This window comes from Homo sapiens, chromosome 1 (genome assembly GCF_000001405.40).
Source record: "Homo sapiens chromosome 1, GRCh38.p14 Primary Assembly".
Taxonomy (NCBI): Eukaryota; Metazoa; Chordata; class Mammalia; order Primates; family Hominidae; genus Homo; species Homo sapiens.
Genome location: NC_000001.11, coordinates 222,456,673 through 222,483,209, shown reverse-complemented (window position 1 = coordinate 222,483,209; position 26,537 = coordinate 222,456,673). Strand labels below are relative to the sequence as shown.

Here is a 26,537-nt window from a genome sequence, read left to right as displayed (position 1 = left end):
ATCCAAGGAATGGGGGTGGCTTCTAGAAGCTGGAAAAGCCAAGGGAACATATTAGAGTCTCCAGAAGGAATGCAGCCCTGCTGACACCTTGACTTTAGCCTTAATAGACCTAGTTTGGGTTTCTGGCCCCTAGAACTGTAAGATGGTAGATTTGTGGTGTTTTAAGCCACTAAATGTAGGAAACTGCAAACTATGTTGCAGCAGCAAGAAGAAATGAACATGAAGCCAGGCATGATGGCTCATGCTGGTAATCCCAGCACTTTAGGAATTTAGGCAGGAGGATCACTTGAGGCCAGGAGTTCAAGACCAGTCTGGGCAACATAGTAAGACCTTGTCTCTACAAAAAATGAAAAAATTGGCCAGGCGTGGTGGCTCACGCCTGTAATTCCAGCACTTTGGGGGGCCGAAGCGGGCAGATTACCTGAGGTCAGGAGTTCGAGACCAGCCTGGCCAACATTGTGAAACCCTGGCTCTACTAAAAATACAAAAATTAGCTGGGCGTGGTGGCATGCACCTGTAATCCCAGCTACTTGGAAGGCTGAGGCAGGAGAATCACTTGAATCTGGGAGGTGGAGTTTGCAGTGAGCCGGGATCGCACCGTTACACTACAGCCTGGGCAAGAAGAGTGAAACTCTGTCTCAAAATAAAATAAAATACTAAAAAATTTAGCCAGGCATGGTGGCATGAACCTGGAGTCCCAGGTACTCAGGAGGCTGAGGTGGGAGGATCGCTTGAGCCTGGAAATTTGAGGTTGCAGTGAGCTGTGATTTCGCCACTGCACTCCAGCCTTGGTGACAGTGAGATCTTGAAAAAAAGAAAGAAGAAAGTAAAGAAAGAAGAAATGAGCATGGTGGGCATGGGGACAGATGGCAATGTTAAATAGAATGGTCAGGGGTGGCCTCCTAAGTGAAAGTTGAGTAAAGACTTGAAGGAGGGGAAGGAGTTGGCCAAGGTGCTGAGGGAAGAGGATTGTAGGCAGAAACAATAGAATAAACTGTCTGAGGTGTGTCTCCGGCTCTGGAAGGAGGCCCAAGGAGCAGATGGAGAGAGGGAGAGAATTAGGGGAGGGAGCCAGGGAGTTGCTGGGTGGGGATCAGTACAGATCACATAAGCCCTGGGAGGTTATTGGTGGGGCTTTGGCTTTTACTCTGACTCAGATGGGAACTGCGGGAGGGTTCTGAGCAGAGAGGCGACATGATCTGTCTCCCGATTTAAAAGCATTCTCTGGCTGCTGAGTTGAGAAAGACTGTGGGAAGATGTGATAGAAGCATGGGGGCCAAGCTTTGGCAACATCCAGGCGGGAGATGATGGTGGTCCTGACCAGGGTCGTGGTGGTGTTGAGAGATGGTCAGAGGGGAGAAGTAGGGGAGGAGGCCAGGGAGTTGCTGGGTGGGGATCTTTAGTACATGTCGAAGACAGTCAACAGGATTTCCTGACAGACTGGATATGGGGTGTGAGAGAAGGCAGGGGTCAAGGTTGAGTTTGATTGTTACTGAAATTATTAAGTAATTTTAAAAAACACTACTGCCTTTCCCAATCCTACCAAGTATGGGATGCTAGATTAAAGAAATCTCTTCAGGCTCATTGCAGTGGCTCATGCCTGTAGTCCCAGCTGTTTGGTAAGCAGAGGTGCGAGTATCTTTTAAGGGCAGGTGTTCAAGACCAGCCTGGACAACACAGCAAGATCTGCTCTTTACAAAAATATTTTTCAAAATTAAATAAATGTAGCTAGGCATGGTGATGTGTACTTGTAGTTTCAGCTACTCAGGAGGCTGAAGTGGGCAGATCTCTTGAGGTCAGGAGTTTGAGGCCAGCTTGGGCAACATAGCAAGACCCCTCACTCTACAAAAAAATTAAAAAAATAACCAGGCACGGTGACACTCAACTGTACTACCAGCTACTGGGGAGCTGAGGCAGGAAGATGGCTTGAGCCCAGGAGGTCGAGGCTACAGCGAGCTGTAAGTGCACAGCTGCACTCCAGTCTGGGTGACAGAGCAGGACCTGTCTCACAATACAAATAAAAATACAAGTAAAATAATATCTCAAGTCAGAGCCTTTTGGCTCTGCAGCCCTTGCAACCCCTCAGCCATGCAGTGGGGTTTGCGTCCCTGGGAATGAGGAGACCCCTGCCTGGTGTTGTTGCCTGACTAATCAGTGTTTTAAAACATATACTAATTGGGGTGGGCTCGGTGGCTCACACCTGTAATCCCAGCACTTAGGGAGACCCAGGCGGGTGGATCACCTGAGGTCAAGAGTTCAAGACCAGTGTTGCCAACGTGGCGAAACTCCTTCTCTACTAAGAAAATACAATAATTGGCTGGACATGGTAGTGGGCGCCTGTAATCCCAGCTACTTGGGAGGCTGAGGTAGGAGAATCGCTTGAACCTGCGGGGTGGAGGTTGCAATGAGCTGAGATTGAGCCACTTCACTCCAGCCTGGGCAAAAGAACAAGACTTTGTCTCAAAGAAAAAAAAAAAGTATTATATCAACATGTAATGGTTTTATTATTAATATGTAATGAATATTAAATATTTCTAAAATCTTATATCAACATGTAATGGCTTTAATATGTGATGAATAATATTTAAAAAATTGTGTCTTATTTTCTAGTTTTAATATAATTATCTACAGAAAGAAATAGTCTTAGAGATCTTCAATAAAGTTAAAAACGGTAAAGGGATGTTTTTACCCAAAAGATTGAGAATTTCTAGTTTAGAAATATTCAGAGTAAGCCACATACAACTTGCTACTTGAACTATTTTTTTCTTTGTTTTTTATTTCAGGAGATGGGGGTCTCACCCTGTCACCCAGGCTTGAGTACAGTAGTGCTATCACAGCTCACTGCAGCCTTGAACTCCTGGGCTAAGGATCCTCCTACCTGAGCCTCCTGAGTAGCTAGGACTGTAGGCATACATGACGATACTTGGCTAATTTTTAAATTGTTTTGTAGACATGGGGTCTCACTTTGTTGGCCAGGCTGGTGTCAAACTAATGGCCTCAAGTGACCCTTCCACCCCTGCCTCCCATCCTCGAGGCATGTGCCACCACAAGGAGCACTTGTTCAATTTTCTAAAGAAAAAATTTCTAAAGTAAGGCTGTGGGATGATGGCAGGAAGACAAAAGAAAAACAGAAGAATAAGTTAAAATGACTTATTCACACATATTCTTTTGACAGCAAGAAGAACTTTTAGTATATACATTCCTTACAAACAAACAAAAGGCAGATAAACAATGTTGTATAGGAACTTCAACACACACTGTACAATATTCCCACTTTGCTGACATAAGTTATGGAAATTTCGTGGTTTACTTGAGTGTCGCTACCAGTATTTTGCTTCTCTGATGATTTTTATCAACTTCCTCATCTGTTAACTTCTCTCCAAGGTATGTCATGTCACAACATACTGCCGCTGCACGAACATGGCCAGCGTCTTCCTATTAAACATGTAGAATGCTTTCCTAGTTTCTCTTTTTACTCTCTGACTTTGTGTTTTGCATTTTCCTTTTATTGTCAGAAACTCCAGAAAGTCAATCGTACTAATTTATCACGATTTGCTTTATTAATTTATACTTTGCTTATATGGAATTTTGCCCAACAGACCTCATTACAATTTCTAACCTGTTTTATTTTGTTTTTTTTTTCTGAGACAGGGTCTCCCTCTGTTGTCCAAGGCTGGAGTGTAGTAGTGCTATCGCAGCTGACTGCAGCCTCAACCTTCCAGGCTGAAGCGATCCTCCCACCTCAACCTCCCACGTGGCTGAGACTACAGGTGCTTGCCACTATGCCCAACTAATATTTGGAATTTTCGTATACGTGGATTCCAGAGGGGTGACAGCGAAACGTGAGTAAGCATGGATTTTGGTATATGCAGAGATGGGGGGCTGGAACTAATTCTGTATACTGAGGGACGGCAACTGTGTATGTTTTTACAATTACGCTGTAGGATACATACTGTTGCATAGCCTTGAAAATAATAATTTTTAATTGAGTGGAATAATAATAATATTGATAAAAGTAGCAGCTGGCCAGGTGTGGTGGCTCACACTGGTAATCGCAACACTTTGGGAGGCTGAGGCAGGAGGATGGCTTGAGGCCAAGAGTTTGCAATAGGCCTTGGAAACAAAGGGGGAGTCACCATCCCTACAGAAAAATACGCGAATTAGCCTAGTGTGGTGGCATGTTCCTGTAGTCCCAGCTACTTGGGAGGCTGAGGTGGGAGGATCACTTGAGCCCAGGGAGGCTGAGACTGCAGTGAGTCATGATCAGGCCTCTGCACTCCAGCTTGGGTGACAGAGTGAGACCCTGTCTCAAAACAACAAAAAAGTAGCAGCTAACATCAACTGACCTTTTATACCAGGTGCCTATTGATATCATAGTTTAATTTCTTATAACTGTTTCTTATTTCACTTACCAACTCTGTCTTCAGTTACTCCCAGATTTTTACTGTGTTTGTACAGATGACCTTTTGTTTAGATTGAATTGTCTCCCCAGAAGTAAGATTACTGTGAGACATGGTGAATGGACATTCTCATTACCCTTGATGTAAATTGACAGGGTTTTGGGTGCCTCCCAGCTATAATCTTAGCACTTTGGGAGGCTAAGAGAGGAGGATTGCTTGAGGCCAAGAGTTGGAGGAGGCAGCATGGCAGTATGGTGAGACCCTGTCTCCATTATTTTAAAAAATTGACAAGCTTTACCCGGGAAGGCTTATACACAATTTAAACACCCCTCATAGTATAAGAAAGTGCCCATTTCACTGCACCTTTGCCAGCACAGGGTATTATAATTTAGTAAGTCATTTTTTGTTTGATTATTTTAAATAGATAAAAGACCTCATATTACTTTACTTGTCACATTTCAACATCTTTCCTTAGCTTATTAGCTCTATTTCTTTTCTGTCTGTAAATGGTTGTTGTTGTTTTGTTCTTTGAGACAGGGTCTTGCTCTGTCACCAGGCTGGACTGTAGTGGCATAATCATGCCTTGCCGCAGCCTTGACCTCCCAGGCTCAAACTTCAGCATTCCGAGTAGCTGGGACTACAGGTGTGCACCACCACTCCCAGCTAACTTTTTTCTTTTTTTTGGATAGAGACAGGGTCTCACTGTGTTGTCCAGACCGTCTCTAGCTCCTGGCCTTAAGCAATCCTCCTGCATTAGCTTCTCAAATTGCTGGAATTTCAGGCATGAGCCACCATGCCTGGCCTGGGCTAGTCCTGTATTCTCTAGAGTTCTCTTTACTTTGTGCTAGCCAATCTCTCATTATGCTGTTCACCTGTTATAATGAATAATTCTCCGTATTAAATTTTACCACTTTAAACTTTTGAGTGGTTTATGCTTCCTGATTGGACTCTGACTAATATGTTAGGAAGGGTCCCAGGAGATAAACCCACACAGATGGGATTTGGGCATAGGTTTGGTTTCCCAGGGGGCAGTGCTGAGCTCTTTGCCAGTGGGAAATGGGATGCTGGTGATTTCCAGGAAGCGACCTCACAATGACTCAAGCTACCACTTACTGTTGATTGTGACGAAATGCCAGCTGAGGCACATGCCTTGGGAGCTAAGTGGTTGCTGCCCTTGACCACTATGAAGACTGGTGTGGGAAGGGTCGCTTTGGATGCACTTGAGCAGGGGTCCCCAACCCCTGAGCCATGGAGCTGTAAGGAGCCACACGGCAGGAGGTGAGTGGTGTCGAGTGAGGGAGTGAGGAAAGCTTCGTCTGTATTTACAGCCACTCCCCTTTGCTCACATTCCCACCTGAGCTCCACCTTCTCAGATCAGCAGCAGCATTAGATTCTCATAGGAGAACGCACCCTGTTGTGAACCGTGCATGTGAGGGATCTAGGTTGCGCTGTCCTTATGAGAATCTAATACCTATTGATCTGTCACTTTCTCCCATCACGCTCAGGTGGGACCATCCAGTTGCAGGAAAACAAGCTTAACATGCCCACTGATTCTACATTATGGTGAGTTCTATAATTATTTTATTATATATTACAGTGTAATAATGGAAATAAAGCACCTAATAAATGTAAATGTGCTTAAATCTTTTGTCCCAGCTCCTACCTCCCGGCAGCCTCTCCAGGCCCAGAACTTTCTCCAGTCAGCCTCTACAGACCAAGCTCATGACTCACAATGGCCTATTTAGGCCCATACCCTACCTCACGGCAGTCTCCGCAGATGAGCCTACTGCCTCACAACAGCCTCCACAGGCACAGCTCCATCGTTACAATGGCCTCTTTAGACCCAGCTCCTGCCTCCCAGCCTTCTCTCCAGGCCCTGAACTTTCTCAAGTCGACCTCACCAGGCCCAGTTCATGCTTCTTTGCAGCCTCTCCAGGCCCAGCTCCTGCATCTTGGTGGCCCCTCCAGGCCCAGCCTCTGCCTCCCGTCGGCCTCTACAGTCCCAACATCTGCCTCACAGCAGATTCTTCAGGCCCAGCATCTGCCTCACTGTGGACCCCCCAAGCCAAGCTCCCAACCTTTCAGCAGCTTCTACACACCCAGCTCCTGCCACCCAGTGGCCTCTCTAGGCCAAGCTCATGCTTCACAAGGGCCTTTGCAGGCCCAACTTTTGTCTCATGGCAACCTTCCCTGGCCAGATTCCTGCTTGTCTCCCAGCAGCCTAGACAGGCCCAGGTCTTGCCTCACACTGGCCTCTCTACATCCAGCTCATGCCTCACGTTGGCCTCTCCAGGCCCAACTCCTGTCCCAGGACGTCATCTCCGGGCCCAAAACTTACTCAAGTCAGACTCTCTGGTCCCAACTGCTGCCTTCTGGTGGCCTATGAAGGCCCAAAATCTCCTCAAGTTGACCTCTCCAGGCCCAGCTCCTGCCTCCTGTCAGCATCTACAGGCCCAACCTCTGCCTCATGGGGTCTTCTCCAGGCCCACCTCTTCCTCTTGGCTGGGTCTACAGGCACAACTGCTGCCTCACAACAGCCTTTTTTGGCCCAGTTCCTGTCCAGCTCATGGCGGCCAATGTAGGCCCAAAACTTCCTCAAGTCAAACTCTCCAGGCCCACCTTCTGCTTCCCGGTGGCATGAACAGGCCCAGCTTTGACTTGAGAACAGCCTCTGCAGGCCCTGCTCTTGCCTCCCAGGGGCTTTTTCCAGGCCCAGCTCTTGCCTCATGGCAGCTGCCCGAGGCCAAATTTCTGCTTGCCTGCCAGCAGCCTCAACAGGCACAGCTCCTCCCTCACAGTGGCCCATTTAGTCCCAACTCATGACTGTCGGGCCATTTCCAGGCCTAGTGCCTGCCTCGTGGCTGACTCTTGAAGCCCAAAACTTCCTCAAATCAGCCTTTTGCCCAACTTCTGTCTACTGTCGGACTCTACAGGCCAGCCTCTGCCTCACAGTGGACCCTCCAGACCCAGATGGTGTCTCACTGTGGCATCCTCAGGTGAAGCTCCTGCCTTTCTGCAGCCTCTACAGGCCCAGCTCCTGCCTTGCAGTGGCCTCTTTAGGCCAAGCTCATGCCCCATGGCGACTTTTCCAGGCACAGCTTTTGCCTTTTGCAGCCTGTCCAGGCCCAGAATGTCCTTAACTCAGCATCTCCAGGACGAGCTCATCCTCCCAGTGCGTCTACAGGCCCGTCTCCTGCCTCACAACCTCCTTTGGCCCAACTCCTGCTGAGCAGCTGGCAGCCTCTCTAGGCCACAGACTTCTTAAGGTAAAGCTTTTCAGGCCCACCTTTGGCCTCCCGGCAGCCTCAGCAATCAAACTATTCCCTCACTGCGGCCACCGAAAGCCAAGTTTCTCCCTGCCTCACGGCATCCTCCGAAAACTGAGCATTTGCCTCACGGTGGCCTCCCCAGGCCACGAATCTGCCTGCCTCCCAGGCAGCTGCTGCCTCACAATGGTCTCTTTAGGCCCAGTTCATGCTAAAAGATGGACTCTCCAGGCACAGCTCTTGCCTCCTGGCAGCCTCTGCAGGCCCAAATTCTCCAAAAGATGGCCTCTCCTAACTCAGCTCCTGCCTCATGTCGGCCTACACAGGCCCAGACTCTTACCACACAGTAGACCCTCCAGGCCCACCACTTGCCTGATCATAGCCTCCTAAGGCCAAGCTCCTGCCTTTCGGCAGCCTCTACAGGCCAAGCTCCTGCCTCGCAATTGCCTTTGTAGGCCAAGATCATGCCGTGAAGTGGCCTTTCCTAGCCTAACTTTTGCTTTTTGATGCATACTCCAGTCCCAAAACTTCCTCCAGTCAGCCGGTCCAGGCCAAGCTCTTCCTCCCAAAGGCTTCTGCAGGCCAAAATCGTCGTGAAGTCACCCTCTGCAGGCCTAGCTCCTGCGTCCGAGTGCTGTGTAGGCCAAGCTAATGCCTCACAGCACACTTTTGAGGCTGAGCGTTTCCTTTTGTGCATCCTCTCCAAGCCCTGAACTTACTCCAGTTGGCCTCTCCAGACCAAGCTCTCCCTCCCAGTGGCCTCTACAGGCCAAAATTGTCCTCAGGTCAGCCTCTCCAGGGCCAACTCCTAGCTACCGGTGGCTTCTGCGGCCAAAATCGACCTCAAGTCAGCCTCTTCACACCCAGCTCTTGCCTCTGAGTGGCCTCTCCAGGAGCAAAACTTTCTCAAGTCGGCCTCTCCATGCCCAGCCTCCTGCTTCCCGAGGGCATGTACAGGCCCAGCCTCTGCCTCACAGCAGACTCTTCACACCCAGCTCTTCCCTGTCTGCGGCCTCTCCAGTCCAAAGCTGCTCCTGCCTTTTGGCAGCTTGTACAGGTCCAGCTCCTCCCTCACGGTGACCTCTTTCGGCCCAACTCATGCCTCTTGCAACGTGCCGAAGTGTCAGCTCCTGCCTCACACTGGCCTGTTGAGGCCCAGCTCATGCCTCTCGTGGCCTCAACGGGCCCATCCCCTCCCTGTTGGCGGCCTCTACAGGCCCGGCCTCTACCTCACAGTGGGCTCTCCAGGCCCACCTCTTCCTCACCCTGGCCTCCTGGGGCAATGCTCCTCCCTCTCGGGAGCCTCTGCGGGCCCAGCTCCTGCCTCCCAGTGGCCTCTGTAGGCCAAGCCCGTGCCTCAGGGCAGACTTTCCAGGCCTAGCGTTTGCTGCTTTGCATCTTCTCCAGGCCCTGGACTTCCTCCAGTCGGCCTCTCCAGGCCCAGCTCTTCCTCTCAGCGCCTCTGCAGGCCCAGACTGTTGTCAAGTCGGCCTCCCCAGGCCCAGCTCCGGCCTCTCGGCGGCCTCTCTGGATGCAAAAGTTCCTCGAGTCAGCCTCTCCAGGCCCAGCTCCTCCTGCCTCCCAGTGGCCTCTTTCAGCCCAGCCCAGCTCATGCCTCCTGGCGGCCTTCCCAGGCCCTGCTTTTGACTTTTGGTGGCCTCTGCAGGCCTCGACAAGGCCCGGCCTCCTGCCTCCCGAAGGCCTGCACAGGCCCAGCCTCTGCCTCACAGCAGACTCTCCACGCCCAGCTAGCTCTCGCCTCACTGCGGCCTCCCGAGTCCAAAGCTCCTGCCTCTCGGCCGCTTCGGCAGGCCCAGCTCCTGCCTGCCAGTGGCCTCTTCAGGCCCATGGGGCTCATTCCTCACAACGGCCTTTCCAGGCCCAGTTTTTCCCTTCCGGTGGCCTCTCCGGGCCCAGAACCTCCTCAAGTCGGCCTCTCCAGACCCACTTGCACCCTCCGGGCGTCCTCTCCGGACCCAGCTCTTCCTCACGGCTGCGTCTCCAGGCCCGACTCCTGCCTCTCAACAACCTCTTTGGACTCAGTGCCTACCCATCTCCTGGCGGCCTTGGTCGGCCCACAGCTTCCTCAAGCCAAGCTCCCCAGGCCCAGGTCAGGCCTCACGGTGGCCTCTCCAGGATGAGCTCCTGCCCTCCGATGGCATCTGCAGGCCCCAAATGGTCTCCGGTCGGTGGGCTCCTCCATGCCAAGCTTGGGCCTCCCGGCGGCCTCTGCAGGCCCAAGTCGTCCTCAAGTTGGCCTGGAATTGGGCCTGGAAGAGCAGCAAGTCGGCCTCCCCGGGCCCAGCTCCATCCTCTCGGCGGCCTCTCCAGGTGCAAAACTTCCTCGAGTCAGCCTCTCCAGGCCCAGCTCCTCCTGCCTCCCAGTGGCCTCTTTCAGCCCAGCCCAGCTCATGGCTCTCGGTGGCCTTCCCAGGCCCCGCTTTTGACTTTTGGCGGCCTCTTCAGGTCCAGAACTTGACCTCCAGTGGGCCTTTGCAGGCCCGGCCTCCTGCCTCTCAAAGGCCTGCATGGGCCCGGCCTCGGCCTCGGCCTCACAGCGGACTCTCCACGCCCAGCTAGCTCTCACCTCACTGCGGCCTCCCGAGTCCAAAGCTCCTGCCTCTCGGCCGCTTGGGCAGGCCCAGCTCCCGCCTGCCAGTGGCCTCTTCAGGCCCATGGGGCTCATTCCTCACAACAACCTTTCCAGGCCCAGTTTTTCCCTTCCGGCGGCCTCTCCGGGCCCAGAACCTCCTCAAGTCGGCCTCTCCAGACCCACTTGCAGCCTCCTGGCGTCCTCTCCAGGCCCAGCTCTTCTTCCCTGCTGTGTCTCCAGGCCCGACTCTGGCCTCCCAACAACGTCTTTGGACTCAGCTCCTGCCCAGCTCCCAGCGGCCCTGGTAGGCCCACAACTTCCCAAAGCCAAGCTCCGCAGGCCCAGCTCAGGCCTCACGGTGGCCTCTCCAGGCTCAGCTCCTGCTCTCCGATGGCATCTGCAGGCCCCAAACAGCCTCCGGTCGGTGGGCTCCTCTAGGCCCAGCTTGGGCCTCCTGGCAGCCTCTGTAGGCCCAAGTCGTCCTCAAGTCAGCCTGGAATTGGGCCTGGAAGAGCAGCAAGTCGGCCTCCCCGGGCCCAGCTCCGTCCTCTCGGCGGCCTCTCCAGGTGCAAAACTTCCTCGAGTCAGCCTCTCCAGGCCCAGCTCCTCCTGCCTCCCAGTGGTCTCTTTCAGCCCAGCCCAGCTCATGGCTCTCGGCGGCCTTCCCAGGCCCCGCTTTTGACTTTTGGTGGCCTCTTCAGGCCCAGAACTTGACCTCCAGTGGGCCTTTGCAGGCCCGGCCTCCTGCCTCTCAAAGGCCTGCATGGGCCCGGCCTCGGCCTCACAGCGGACTCTCCACGCCCAGCTAGCTCTCGCCTCACTGCGGCCTCCCCAGTCCAAAGCTCCTGCCTTTCGGCCACTTCGGCAGGTCCAGCTCCTGCCTGCCAGTGGCCTCTTTAGGCCCAGCTCATTCCTCACAACGGCCTTCCCAGGCCCCGTTTTTCCCTTCCGGCAGCCTCTTGGCCTCTAATTTGTTTATCTTTTGTGTATAAATCCCAAAATATTAAATTTTGGAATATTTCCACCATTATATAAATATTTTGGTCGGTAATTTATTTGGAGTGAGTTTCTGCACCATGCCCGAATTTTTTATTTTATTTTCCTTGTTATTTGGTGTTAAACAGGTTTAATGACGGTCATGGCAACTTTTTGGCACAATGAAAAATATCGCCCATGATCAACGTGTTCTGCTCTGGGGAAGGGGGCAAAGGCAGGGTGAATCACTTTCTTAAAAAGTATAGCTCAAGTTGGGAGTGCAGAGGGAATGGGGAGAAAACCCTCCCGCTGCCTGTGTCGAAGTGCAGGAGCCCCCACCCCCATACTCACCTGAGTCCAGCCCCTCTGGGGAAAGAAGGGGTGCATGAACTACCCCTAGTCCACAGGCGCTTCCCTGTGGCCCAAGGCCCTCTTCACACTCCATCTTGTAGCCCCAGCAGGAGCTATTTTCCGAAAAGTGAAAAGCTCTGAAGGTCCCACAATTCATGGTATGTACAGGGGCTCGGAGGAGGGAAACTGCCCAGCTTTCCCCTGGCACAGCTGCAGGGGTAGGGGGTATAGATAAGAGGAGCAGGCCTTGGCCAGGCGTGGTGGCTCACGCCTGTAATCCCAGCACTTTGGGAGGTGGAGGCAGGCGGATCACGATGTCAGGAGATCGAAATCAGCCTGGCCAAGATGATGAAGCCCCGTCTGTACTAAAAATACAAAAATTAGCCGGACGTGGTAGCGTGCACCTGTAATCCTAGCTACCTGGAAGGCTGAGGCAGGAGAATGGCGGGAACCCGGCGGGAAGAGGTTGCAGTGAGCCAAGATTGCACCACTGCATTCCAGCCTGGGCGACAGAGGAAGACTCGGTCTCAAAAAAAAAAAAAAAAAAAAAAAGAGGCAGGCCTTATTCCATCCCAAACTGAAAGGATTAAATGGCTTTACCTGGGAGAAGATAACCATCCTGCCCTCCATTGCTACCCCCACATACTGTCCATGTTCTCAGGGGATACTGTGAGTCCTGGGATCTTCTTTGGGGTCGCCCACCTGCCTGTGGTAGTTATGGAGACCCCCAGGTGTTGAGGCAGGGCTGGGGTGTCCCCTTCCAACCAGGCTGTCAAGGCCCCAACTCTGGGGCAGAGCAGTGGCAGGGCAGCCAGGGTTGCGCCAGAGCCTGAGCAGGGTGAGGTGGGGTCAGGCAGGGCTGGGAGTCAGGGCAGGGGCAGCAGCAGTGGACCCGCTATGCACACATCTTCTTCTCCAACGTTTGTGTGCAGAACATCCTGCCCATGCTGCCCCAGCAGCTTCAGTTGGCACCTGCCCCAGTCCAGCCTCTGGGAACCATGCAGCGGCCCCCAGCGGCCCTGCACCCACCACCAGCATCCGTTTCACCTGCAGTTGAAGATCCGTGAGGTGCCCAGAAGATCATGCAGTCATCAGTCCCACGGAGCAGCCCGTGAGGCTGAGGCTCCTCCCACTGGACCGCCCCCCAACTGGCACCACTGCTGCCCCGCCCCTACTCTCAGCCTCACGTGACTCTCGGGCAGAGGCAGTGGTGGGGCAGCCAGGGCAGCGTCAAGAGTCTGAGCCAGGTGAGGTCCGGTCAGGACCCCCACAGGGCTGGGAGTCAGGGCAGGGGCAGAACAAACCTTGGAGGGGAAGATGTGTGCATAGTGGGCCTGGAGGGCAACTGTGGCCTAGTGGACAGGAAGAAGCAGTGGGCCTGGAAGAGCTGCATGATCAGGGCCGGCACTGGTCCAGGGCGCGTGCAGTGAAGAGGACAGCGCCTTCTCGGTCTCCGGTTCCCTGAGCCTGTCCTCGGCTTCTCCACCTGTACAGGCAAAGGGGAAGCTGTCCCCATCACACATGGCACACTTGGGGGTGTTGGGCTTTGGACTGCAGCTGGAGCATCTTCTCATCTTGCATCTGGGCGTGGTGGGGTCCTCCAGTGTGGGGGAATCCATGTCCGTGGGGTTCCCTCTGCCCTGACCCTGAAAGCCCAGTCAGTTTCTCTTCAGGCTCTGCCCCCCCGGGTGGCTCAGCCCAGCTCCTGCCTAGGAAAGCCTTAGTGTTGGGAGGGACCCTGATGACTGAGGAGCCTGGTAGCTCCAGGTCGCCCACACTTTCTGGTCTCTTGCACCAGAAGGTGGCAGGATCCATTGGGAGGAAACAGGTCACCTTGGAAGGCGTCCCTGGGCCCCCATCCCCAGGGGTAGGGGTCATAGGGGGCCCGCTCTGCTGCCTTGACCAGACTCCTGGGCTTTGAAGGCTCCTGGGCCCAGTAAGAAGGAGGTGGGTGCCAAGGTTGAGGAGGAAGCATCCGAGTATGTGTAGGAGGAGGACAGGGTGGGACCATAGACTTTGCCAAAAGCTGCAGGTGGATCGGGGGACCCTGGGGGCTCAGGATCCAGCAAGGGGCGGCAGGAGTAAAGGAGGAAGGAATGACAGGTGCAAATACCTTCCCACCAAAGCCCTTGTTGCCCTCTGGCTCCTCCCCAGAGTTGTCCCCACTCTCAGTCGGTCACCCACTCCTTGAACTTGAGATCGGTGTCAGTGGTGCTAAAGCCATCATCAGCAATGACATCATCACCCCCTCCTCCTCATGGATGACCGTGTGCTCCTCGTCACTCGCTATGTCCTCACTGGCCATGTGCTGGGAATGAGCAGCTCAGGTGGGCAGCAGCAGGGCTGCCCACGGGTCACCTCCCTCACCAGGGGCTGCAAAGTGGCCTGGAGCTCCATGCTGAGTAGAAGGCTTTGGGCCAGAGTATGATGCAGTGCCAGACACCACCTGTGTCAGTTCCCGTAGTGCCTGACGGTCTATTTCCCTGCCGTCCAGGCTGTGTACCCCGCTGTGGGAGAAGGCTTGGGCCAGGCTGAGCCAGGTTTCCTGACTGTGTGCAGCCGTTCTGCCCCACAGAAGCTGCTCCTTGGTATCCGAGCTCTGGAGTGTTTGGGCTGCAACTGACAGGAGTTCAGAGGACACCCCAGGGGCAGTGGCAGTGCCTGTCTCTGATATGCTCCGCTCCCACGAGCCCTTGTTACACTCCTGCTAGCCCCTGGCTTGTGGGCTTGGCCTCTGAGCTGGACTTCTTTCGGTCCTTGTTGCAAGTGGGCCACCTTCACCTGGAAGGCCAGGTCGTGGTATTTCTGCGTCTCATTGGGCCCCAGGGTGTACCACCGCTCGCTCAGCATCTGGCTGATGGTCCGGTTATAGTGGTTGGGGTGACCCTGGTGCGCCCTGCCAGGGCCTGGTGCCGCTTGCTGAAGATCATGACCGGCACTCATGGGCCACCGGATGTGGTCCTTGTCCCATTTGTTGGGGCTGCGTCCATCCTTCTCAGAAGATGAGTCCTGTTCCTTGCGCAGGCACTGAGGGACTGGGCCTGACATCATCTGAGTGGTAGAGGCAACTGGGTGTCAGGAGACATGATGGAGAGGAAAGCATCATCATGGTCATTCTCTGTGTCACTGTCCAGCAGGGACTCCCCTGAGGGGCCCAGGGCTCCTCCTCTGTGGTGGGAGGTGAGCTTTTACCAGGTTCCACCACCCCCAAAGTGTGTGGGGTTGCGGGCCCTGGGCTTTCAGGGCAGGTGGCTCCAGGGGGCCGCCCAGGGTCAACACTCCCTGTCCCACCTGGTGGACGCTTATGAGCAACAGCTGCCAACTTGGCAGGTTGTTTTCTCTGGTTGGAGGCCACTGAGTGACTGGCAGGTTGCTGGGCCTCATGTGGCTGCAGGGAGGGGTCAGGAAGGGGATGGAGTACCAGGGGAACACGGCCACAGAGTGACCTTCCACATTCCTCCACACGAACATGCTGACGCCACGGGAGGCCTCACTGAACGCAGGCCTGGGGGCCGAGTTATAATTGGGCATACTCTGGATAGATTTTTTTTTAAAGACTTAGAAGCAGGTTCCATGTTTTTACTTTAGGTAACCTTACCTAACAAGAATCCATCAAACCTCTGATTCTTTTTATCTTGTTCTGTCTTTATGGAAGATGCTAAACACCAGTCATCGTGTTCTGCAGATCATTTTTTTGGATCATCTTTAAGTCTTCTTCCTTCGCCTTTTTCATAGTTTTATTTTTCCTTGCCTACCTTTGTAGTGCTTATGAATACTCTCTAGAATCGAAATGAACTTCAGAGTCTAACCAACTTGATATTTCACACTTTTAGCTTCTCCTCCGATGAAGACAGCAACTTAAAGGTGGAGGGGATTAACCCAGGGTTGTTTTGTTGAAAGAGCTGAAAACCCCAGGCCAGTTTGAGGAGATTGGATCTAACCTCTGGACTAAATGTTTGAGCCATTCTGCTTTCTTTACTCATACGGTCTTTCTTCAAATACATGTGGCAAAAATACAGTCTGGACTGGAAGTGTTTGAGCTGGGGGAAAGTGCTCAAAATTCATGTATCAACTTAAAGGACCACACGCACCAAATTCAAGGCATTTGAAGCACTGGTTTTGCATTGGTGGGTAGTGCGTGGGTCTAGAACGGGAAACTGAATGGGACCTCTCAAATGTTGGAAAGGTCGGGGAGAGGCAGAGTGTTTTTCTCTAGCAAGTGGCTTTATTTTCTGGAAGGATGCCTGATGGTGCTGGTGAGTCTTCCTGGAAGGGTCTAGGACTGTTAGAAAACAATCTCTAGGACATAGAAAAGCCAAAATGTATTCCTTTTCCTTACAGCCTAAGGTGTTGAAAAGTTTGGAAAGTTGAAAAATACACACATGCAGGTACTTGCTCTTTCTAGAGATCAGCCAATGTCAGGGGAAGGGAGAGGAATGATGACGACTAGCAATGACTGGAGGGAGATGGGATTAGAGCGCTTCAAAAACCTCTCTTTCTTACTACTTTGTTACTTGATGACCAAGTAACTCAGAGTAAGTAGTCCTGGTACTAAGGTATTCAAGGATCCGAAATGGCTTTGCTAAAAGGCATTCGGTGTGTTAGTAAAGGGCTAATACTTTTGCGATAATATGGGTATTTGTCTTGCATCAGTGGGTCCTATGTCCTCAAGGCACTGTGAACACTTCACCTTCACAGCATTGCTCCAGTAGATATCCTGACCACAGAGGGACAAAATAATTAACAAAATATGAGGGTGTTGAGTGTGTTTTCCTAGATCTAAAATACTGCAAGCCAAAACAGTCTTACAGTTGCCAAAAGCGAACTCAGTTTAAGAAACACATTCCCTGTAGTGGTTCACACCTGTAATCTCTGCACTTTGGGAGGCCGTGGCAGGTGGATCACTTAAAGCCAGGCATTCGAGACCAGCCCGGCCAACATGGCAAAATCCTGTCTACTAAAAATGCAAAAAATTAGCTGGGCATGGTGGCAGGCACCTGTAATCCCAGCTATTTGGGAGGCTGAGGCAAGAGAATTGCTTGAACCTGGGAGGTGGAGGTTGCAGTGAGCTGAAATCACGCCACTGCACTCAACCCTGGGCGACAGAGGGAGACTCCCTTTCAAAAAAAAACAAAAAAACAAACAAAAAACAATAACAACAACAAAGAAAAAGAAAAAAAAAGGAAATACATTCCCTTGCTTTGTAGAGCTTGTTGGGGAGATATTTAATTTCATTTCAACGAAGGTTGTGCTTACTGCTTGTCAGGCACAGTACTGACTCCGGGGAGACCCAGAGATGAAAGAGACTTTCTCTGGCTATTACAGTTTACTTAGTGGGAGCCAGATTAAGAATTAACTTAAACACAAGGTCAGAGGACTCTGGGTCCCTAACCTGCACCATCTAACAGAAAGATAAATGAAAGCTGCAGATGGGGGCCACAAATGTAACCTAAAATTTTCTAATAGGCACATTAAAAAAATAGTTAATTGTAATTATACAATTATTTTTATAATTATTTTAATTATACTATATTTTATATAATCCAATATATCCAAAATATTATTTCAACATGGAATCAATTCAAAAATTACTAGTGAGATGGCTTACATCCTGTTTCGGTTTCAAGTCTTTTAAATCTCATGTGTATTTTACTCTTTCAGGACATGGCCATTTGGTCTAGCCACATTTCAAGCACCCAGCGGCCACACGCGGCTTGTGGCGACCTCACACACAGTCCTTTATCAAGCTCTGGCCCTCAGATCTGGGAAAAGAAATCCTGGGTTGGAAAAATTCATGTGTTCAGAAAAAAGGCTCTTGGCACTTTCCTCTGGTGACTCTGTAGTCACGCGCCATTGAGGAATTCAGAGAAAACACGGAGAGTCAGAAAGGCTGCAAACACTGGCTTCCCAAGCAACCCGGGACTATTTTGGGGAGTAGCCTCGGAAGGGGCAGGACATTGGAGCCAGGCCGGGCTATGGGGCCTGGGCTGCCACGTGTCAGCCACAGAAACGGCTAGCATTCGGGCCACGCTGGCGGCGCTCTCGGCCCCGGCGGGGCGTGGAGAAGCGCAGCCGCTAGCCTCCGGTGAGGCGATGGGGAGCGGTGCCACAGCGCCGCCCGCCGGCCACGCGCCGTAACTGCAGGCGCAGCGCCGCTTCGGCCTGTCCTGTTAGCCAGCAGCCGAGTTGACGGCCAAGGCCGCCGCCTCCAGCTGGTTTTAATTGAGGGGATGGTGCCTGTGTGCAGGACGTTGAATACGAGCCCATGGAGCCTCCAATTCCAGTACTCCGGCCTGCAGGTCCAGGTAATACTGGGGCTGCCGGGCCAGTTTCCCCCTCCTCCTGCCCTTGCCTGCTTTTTGTTGGGGGACTAGGATTTTGTCTTCTGGGTCACTTCTAAAGCACGTTAAGGATGGTCATCATTTGTATTTCAGGAGAACTAATGTTTAGCTCTGCTAGGAGTAACATTTTCGGAAATCACGTTTTCCATTTTGGACTCTATTCTGTATTTAAATGCTATGGATTAAAATAAAAGTAAGCCAACAGGAGGCCCCAGCGAGGATCGAACTCGCGACCCCTGGTTTACAAGACCAGTGCTCTAACCACTGAGCTATGGAGCCCACGTGAGGCGTTGTTTTCAGGAATTCACAGATCTTACCAACAACATTGGTTTATATGGCGGTCCGTGAGAATTTGACCCCATGTGTGTATTATCAATGGTACTTATAAAAGGCTATGAAATGCCAAAGAAAAATGCTTACAACATGATGATAAGTGGAAAACACTGAAGCCTCAAATCATATGTTTGTGATTACAATACACTAAATCATACCTAACTTATGCATACAGACAAGGGCTGGGAGGGAAAGTGCAAAAATGAAATGGTGTTCTGGTCATATTTTCAGTGGTATGTTTACTCTCAATAAATCTTTCAATCTTGCTTCCTTGATAAATTGTATCAAGTTTGGTACTTTCAGGGAAGTGGGAAGTTATGGGGGTGTCTTTGTTCTCATAAACTAAGTTACTGGTTTTGGATGAATTAATTGCTTCAACACATATTTACTGAGTACTCAAATAATGCTAGATGAGGCAGAGTGAACAAGCAAAGCTCTGCCTCTGCTGCTTTGTTTGTTTTTCTTTTTTCTTTCTTTCTTCCTTTTTTTTTTTTTTTAGACAGAGTCTCGCACTGTTGCCTGGGCTGGAGTGCTATGGTGTGATCTTGGCTCACTGCAACCTCTGCCTCCCAGGTTCAAGCCATTCTCCTGCCTCAGCCTCCCAAGTAGCTGGGACCACAGGTGTGCACCACCACGCCCAGCTAATTTTTGTGGTTTTAGTAGAGACGGGGTTTCACCATATTGGCTAGGATGGTCTTGATCTCTTGACCTCGTGATCCGCCCACCTTGGCCTCCCAAGGTGCTGGGATTACAGGTGTGAGCCACCGCACCCGGTCCCTGTTTTTTTTTTTAATGGTCGGGATCACTATGCTTCATTCCCTTTTGATTAATGAACCATTTACTGAAGGAATGAAGTCATGGCCACAACATGATCCATTAGTGCATTAAAGAGAGAATGAAGATCATGCTCACCAAGTGGGCTGCAGGCATCTCTCCCTCATCTCCAAGCTTTGGCTTACATCCACTCTCTCAGTGAGAGCTGTCCTGATCCCCTGTTTACAGCTGCACCATCCTCCTTATTCTGCTCTTTTTACTCCATACTACTTAACCTTCTTTTGTAGTAGATAATGCGCTTATTGTTTTTTATTCTTCATGTATCTCTCCCTAATAGAATATCAGCTCTTTGAGGGCTAAGGCTTTGATCTGTTTTATTCACTGTTGTCTTCTCAACACCAGAATACTCTCTGGCTCATAGTAGATGCTCAACAAATGTTGAAATGAATGACATCTCTGATGATGCTCATTTAGTAAATTAAGAGAAAAGAGAAATCAGGGAAGTGCTTTGGGAGCTGTCTTCTCATCATTTTGCCTTATATTCACTTGCGTTGCCTCTCCGTCTACATTGGAATTTTGCATCACCCTTCGATTCTGCAGCTTATCTGGTTCTCTCCTTCTCCTGCTTCCCCGGCCCATTGCTCTGAGATTTACTGCCTGTCGTCCCTCCTCAGCTCCGGGAACCTTCAGTGCCTTCTCACTGTACTCTGGGTAAAGGTCAAACTCCTCAGTAATTTCATCTTTCATATACAAACTTTCCCTCCCTCTCAAGCTACCTGCAGGTACTTTCATCTCTCATCGCACATGGTTCCTTCCACCTGAAACATATAAGCCTGATTTTAATGTCTTATGTTGTCTTGGCAAGAGCCTTAGAGAGCTGGCTTATTTTCCATCTCAGAGGCGATTTTGAGGAGTGTATTAGTTTGCTAGGGCTGCTGTAACAAAATACCTCACACTAGGTGACTTAAACAACAGAACTGTATTATCTTCTAGCTCTGGAGGCTAGAAGTATGAAATCAAGGTGTTGATAGGGCTGGTTCCTTCTGAGGGCAGTGAAGGAAGGATCTCCTTGGCTTGTAGATGGCCATTTTCTCCTTGTGTCTCCTCACATCATCTTCCCTCTATGTATAGCTCTGTATCCAAATTTCTCCTTTTTATAAGGACACCAGTCAGATTGGGTTAGGGCCCACCCTACTGACCTCACTTTAACTTGATTACCTATGAAAAGACTCTTTCCAAATAAGGTCACATTCTTAGGGACTGGGTCTTAGGACTTCAACAAATGAATTTTGAATTTCCCTTCTTCCATTCCCTTGAGTTGGCACAGCACCACCCTCGACCCCTCCTCCCAATACTGATGCACGTTATCTCCCAGCAGCAGGAGGTAGCATGTGATAGACAAATGGAACCTCTCCTCTTTTCAATTCCAATTTCTGTACTGTAAGAAAAAGGACACAAAGTTAAATGGTAAGATGAAATAAAGATAAAGTAGACATCCTATAAAGACTGTAAAATGGAGGTGATAATTTTGGCCTCTCTGTTTCAGAGCATTTTGAGGGATTCAACACAATAGTGAACCTGAGAGTGCTAGGAAACTGTGAAATGCCAGAAACGAACATAAAAGGGAATGTTCTTCAAAGGTTGAGCATTTACTTCTGGTCTATGGTCAACCCTCAGCAGAAAACCACGTGGAGAGATTCCAGCTTCTGGCACTGCCAGGAGGGAAGGCATCCCACGGTCCAGTTTTGTTGGGAGGGAAAGGAGATGAAAACTAGTAAGTCCCAGCCACATCCCTCAGCTGTTTTGTGTGTTAAAGGGACTTCTTTTTGCCTTAAGAAGATAGTTGCTTTGCTTTCTCACCTCCTTCACCCTCATTCTGTCCTTTGTCCCCTGCCTACATCCTCTCCCCTTCCCCATAGAATCCCTGGTATCCCTGAGGTGGTGGGAAACAGAAGACAGCCCAGGAAGGCTCTCCCACCCACTTGGTGTAGGGGCTGTCTGGCTCTCCTCTGAGTCATTGTCCCACGTGCATCCTCTCCTCCTGGGAGCAGACCTTCTACTGTCCTGTCCAAAGTCAGACTCAAGGTCAGAGGGTATGAGGATGTAAGGGCCAGAAGGAACCTTTGAGCTTATCTAGTGCCAGAAAAAAGCTGCGACTTCATGAGAAGAAGGAACTTGAACTTCATCATGGGTGAAATGATGTGCTAGGAACATTTCTAATCTTTTCTACTAGCTATTTTGAAATATACAATACATTATTGATAATTATAGTCACCCTACTGTGCCATCGAACACTAGAACTTATTCCTTCTATCTAACTGTATGTTTGTACCCATTGACCAACTGTATTAGTCTGTTCTCATGCTGCTATACAGAGCTGCCCGAGACTGAGTAGTTTACAAAGGGAAGAGATTTGATTGACTCACTGTTCCACAGGGCTAGGGAGGCCTCAGGAATTTACAATCATGGCAGAAGGGGAAGCAAACAAGCAAACATGTCCTTCACATGGCAGCAGGAAGGAGGAGTGCCGAGCAAAACTGGGGAAAAGCCCCTTATAAAACTATTGGATCTCATGAGAACTCACTCACTATCACGAGAATAGCATGAGGGTAATCATCTCCATGATTCAGTGACCTCCCATGAGGTCCCTCCCCCAACACATGGGGATTATAATTTGGATTACAACTCAAGATGAGATTTGGGTGGGGACACAGAACCAGAGTATATCACCAACCTCTCTTCAGTCCCCCTTCCCAGCCTCTGAAAATTACTTAACTTTTGAAGCTCCTGTTCACCTGGGAAGTGGAGCTAGGAGGGTACACACTTTCAGGATATAATGTGCTGCTGGGTGCAAAGAGGTCAGCACAGGTCCAGCCTCACCTCCCTTCAGGGACTGCCCACCTGGACCTGTGCGGCCAGGTTCACTTTCCTGCCTGCCCTTCGATTATGGTAGAGGAGCTTTATCTCTCCCCAGTGAGAGCCCTCTTTTTTTTTTTTTTTTTTTTTTTTTTTTTTTTTTTTTTTTTTTTTTTTTTTATGAGACAGAGTCTTGCTCTTGTCGCCCAGGCTTGAGTGCAGTGGCATGATCTCAGCTCGCTGCAACCTCTGCCTCTGGGTTCAAGCAATTATCCTGCCTAAGCCTCCTGAGTAGCTGGGATTACAGATGCCTGCCACCATGCCCGGCTGATTTTTGTACTTTTAGTAAAGACGAGGTTTTGCCATGTTGGTCAGGCTGGCCTCAAACTTTTGACTACAGGTGATCTGCTCACCTCGGCCTCCCAAAGTGCTGGGATTACAGGCATGAGCCACCAAGCCTGGCCCAGTCCTCTCTTCCCTCTGAGGACCCCTGCAGGACCACTATGCCCTTTATCCCTGGGACACTCAACCTCTCATGCTCAACTGGATCCTTCCCGTCTGCTTCTGTGTCTCTCTCGTGGAAAATAAAATAAAATAAAATAAAAACTGCCCTTCAACTCCAGTGAGTTGTCCCCACACATTCACTCTGACCCTTACCTTTCACACATTCCACTTGCCCCATCTGTCTTCTGGCCCTACAGCTCCACCAAAATGACCCTCATTGGCACTAGGTAAGCTCTATGTGGGTGAAGCCTTGGTGTCTTGGCAGCACGTGGTGCCGATGACTGCTTTTCCTCCTAAAACTCTCTCTTCCACTGCCTTCCTGACCCATACATACCCCAAGGGCCTGCCCACCTCCCAGGAACCCACTTCTCAGCTTTGCAGACTCACCTTCCATGAGAGCAGAGGGTGAGCACACAAGGCCCTGGGGGCCAGCCTGCTCATGTCTCAGTTCTGGCTCTGCTCCGCCAGTTTGGGGATTAAGTGATCAGCCAATCCTGATGCGGTCTCTGCTCTAGCCAAGCATACAGACTAGTAGGAAAACAGACATTATTCAGAAAATGGGTGGACTGTGGGGACCAGTGCTAAGGAAGAGGAACAGGCAGTACAGTCTACTCAGATTCCTCATTTATAAAATGGGAATGATGATGGTAATAACTATAATACCATCTCATGTGGGGACTTGTGAAGAATAAATGAAATGAAGCATGTAAACACTTTATGCAGAGCCTCGCATCTGGAGAGTAGTAAGTGATATAAATTACTTTTATTGTTAGTTGTATCTTAGAGTGCTGCACGAAGCTCTCCTGTTGTAGAAATAGGGGTGACAGGAGGCATAGAAAAGGGTGAAGAATATGGGACTCATAAGGCCAAAGCTTCTCTCAGTCACCTGCTGAGTGAGACATTAACACTCTTCTTTGGGAGCTGAAATAGAAGCCAGTGAGTCATGTTCAGAAAGGGGAGATTCTCTCACCTCCGGAAAAGCTACAGATTAGAATTAACCTTATTAAAGTCAAACAGGGCAAGCATTCAACGAGGCTAAGGAGAAGATAGTCTTTCAGTAGACACAGCTGTCTTCTGTCATGTTCCCTGCTCTTTGCAGCTTTTGGTAGAAGTTTCCAACCCATATGTACCACAGGAGAGTGGGATGGGATTTCAATACTTCTTGGTGGTAGAATGAGATGCTGGGAATGGTCAGTTCAGGGACTGCAGGACAGTTGAGACAGTCAGAAAGTTCCAGGAAATTAATCAAGGCTTTTGGGACAGCCTTATGAGACAGAGAAACTAGCCACCCCCCAGAATGGATCCCAGTAAGGGAGAAAAGAATGGCTTCTGATCCTGGGAGAGTTGGGACCTAAGTTAGAAAAACAGAACTGAAGGGTCTTACTGTTCATCAGCCTCATGGGTATCCATTCTGGCTGTCCTATTAGAGTCACCTGCGGGTTTTAAAAATATCATTGCCTGGGACCCAGAGATTCTAGTTTAAATGATTTGGGGTTGGGCTTAAGCATTCCATTTGAAAACTATCAGGCTGTTCTCACATTGCTATAAAACAACACCTGAGACTAGGTTATCCATAAAGAAAAGAGGTTTTGTTGGCTCACAGATCTGCAGGCTGTAAAGGAAACATGATGCTGGCAACTGCTTAGCTTCTGGGGAGGCCTCAGGAAATTTACAATTATGGTGGAAGGCAAAGTGGGTGCAGATATGTCTTACATGGCAGGAGCAGGAGCAACAGAGAAAGGGGCGGTGCTACACACTTTTAAACAACCAGATCTTATGAGATCTCACTCACTGTCTTGAGGACAGCACCAAGGGGGAAATCTGACCTCATGATCCAATCACCTCCCACCAGGCCCCACCTCCAACACTGGGGATTACAATTCAACATGAGATTTGGGTGGGGACACAGATCTAAACCATATAATTCCACCCCTGGCACTTCTCCCAATCTTATTTCCTTCTCACATTTCAAAATACAATAATGCCTCCCCAACAGTCCCCCAAAGCCTTAACTCATTCTAATATTAACTCAAAATTCCAAAGTTCAAAGTCTCATCTGAGACAAGGCAAGTTCCTTCCACCTATGAGCCTAAAAAATAAAAAAGAAGTTATTTGCTTCAAGATACAATGAGGATACTAGCATTGGGTAAACATTCCCATTTCAAAAGGGACGAATCTGCCAAAAGAAAGGAACTACAGGCCCCATGCGAGTCCAAAACCCAGCAGGGCAGTCATTAAAACTTAAAGCTCCAAAATAAACTCTTTTGACTCCATGTCTCACATGCAGGTCACATTGGTGTGAGGAGTGCTCTCCCCAGGCCTTGGGCAGCTCTGCCTCTATGACTTTGCAGGGTTCAGCCTCCATGGTTGCTCTCACAGGGTGGCATTGACTGTGGCTTTTCCAGGCACATAGTGCAAGCTGTTGGTGGCTCTAACATTCTGGGGTCTGGAGGACGGTGGCTCTCTTTGTGCAGCTCCACTAAGCAGTACCCCAGTGGGGACTCTTTGTGGAGGCTCCAACTCAACATTTCTCCTTCATACTGCCCTAGTAGAGGTTCTCCATGAGGCTTCTGCCCCTGCTGCAGGCTTCTGCCTGGACATCCAGGCTTTTCTATATATCCTCTGAAATCTAGGTGGAGGCTCCCAAGCCTCAATCCTTGCACTCTGTGCACCTGCAGGCTTAATATCACATGGAAATTGCCAAGGCTTATGACTTGCACCCTCTGAAGCAGTGGCCTGTACTATATCCCTTTGAGCCATGCCTGAAGTTGGAGTGGCTGGGATGTGGAGAGCAGTGTCCTGAGGCTGCATAGGGCAGCAGAGTCCCCGGGCCTAACCCATAAAAGCATTCTTTCCTCCTAGGTCCCTGGGCCTATGATGGGAGGGGCTGCTGCAAAGGTCTCTGAAATGCCTTTGAGGCCTTTTCTCCATTGCCTTGGCTATTAGCACTTGGATCCTTTATATTTATGCAAATTTCTGCAGCCTGCTTAAATTCCTCCCTGAAAACGGGCTTTTCTTTTCTACCACACAGCCAAGCTGCAAATTTTCCAAACTTTTATGCTCTGTTTCCCATTTAAATATCAGTTCCAACTTCAGGTCATTTCTTTGCTCATACATATGAGCATAGGCTGTTAGAAGCAGCCAGGTCACATCTTGAACACTTTACTGCTTAGAAATTTCTTCTGCCAGATATCCTAAATTACCACTCTCAAGTTCAAAGTCCCACAGATCTCTAGAGCAGGGGCATAATGCAGCTAAGCTGTCTGATAAGGCATAGCAAAGGTTACCTTTACTCATTCCCAATAAGTTCCTCATTTCCATCTGAGACATCTTCAGGCTGGACTTCACTGTCCACGTCACTGTCAGCATTTTAATCACAACCATTAAACAACTCTCTAGGATGTTCCAAACCTTCCCTCAACTTCCTGTCTTCTAGCCCTCCACATTCTTCCAACCTCTGCCTATTTCCCAGTTTCAAAGTTGCTTTCACATTTTTGGGTATCTTTATAGCAATATCCTACTCCTGGTACCAATTTTCTGTATTAGGCTATTCTCATATTGCCACAAACAAACACCCAAGATTGGGTAATTTATAAAGAAAAGAGGTTTAATTGGCTCATGGTTCCACAGACTGTACAGGAAGCACAATGCTGGCATCTGCTTGGCTTCTGGGAAGACCTCAGGAAACTTACAATTATGGCAGAAGGCAAATGGGGAGCAGATATGTCTTCACGGTAGGAGCAGGAGCAAAAGAGAAAGAGAAGGGAGGTGCCACATACTTTTAAACAACCAGATCTCATGAGAACTCAGTATCTTGAGGACAGTACCAAGGGGGAAATCTGCCCCCATGATCCAATCCCACCTCACACCAGGCCCCACCTCCAACATTGGGGATTACATGAGATTTGGGTGGGGACACAGATCCAAACCATGGCAAAAAGCTACCCAAGTGATTTTAATGTGCAGCCAGAGTTGAGTACCATTGCTCTGACAAAATTTTTTATCTTATATATGAACAAGAAGAGACTTCAAGAGCTTAAGTAACTGACCCCAAATAAAGGCCATACAGTCAATTACTGGCCAAGACTCTGGCCCGCTCTATTCCCCTATTGGAAAACCTCCACAGCAGTCACACTTTGGGTCA

At 50.1% G+C, this 26,537-nt stretch overlaps 1 non-coding gene and 2 pseudogenes across 1 annotated transcript, besides 2 other annotated features; 1 reads left to right on the top strand and 2 right to left on the bottom strand.

The window, feature by feature from the left end:
* On the top strand, window positions 5,510–11,436 carry LOC728417 (uncharacterized; annotated as a pseudogene).
* Window positions 12,658–13,159: an enhancer, noted in NCBI's record as "H3K4me1 hESC enhancer chr1:222643393-222643894 (GRCh37/hg19 assembly coordinates)". NCBI's record gives its function as "activates a minimal SCP1, AML or CMV promoter by ChIP-STARR-seq in naive H9 embryonic stem cells {active_cell/tissue: H9 hESC(naive)}" and the evidence as "EXISTENCE:reporter gene assay evidence [ECO:0000049][PMID:30033119]".
* Window positions 13,313–15,112, bottom strand: CICP13 (capicua transcriptional repressor pseudogene 13; annotated as a pseudogene).
* Window positions 17,585–17,794: a silencer, noted in NCBI's record as "silent region_1832". NCBI's record gives its function as "represses an Ori minimal core promoter by ATAC-STARR-seq in GM12878 lymphoblastoid cells {active_cell/tissue: GM12878}" and the evidence as "EXISTENCE:reporter gene assay evidence [ECO:0000049][PMID:35858748]".
* Window positions 18,133–18,205, bottom strand: TRT-TGT2-1 (tRNA-Thr (anticodon TGT) 2-1). The gene has a single exon. It is a non-coding gene; the product is annotated as a tRNA-Thr (tRNA).
* Between the last annotated feature and the right edge of the window lie 8,332 nt (window positions 18,206–26,537).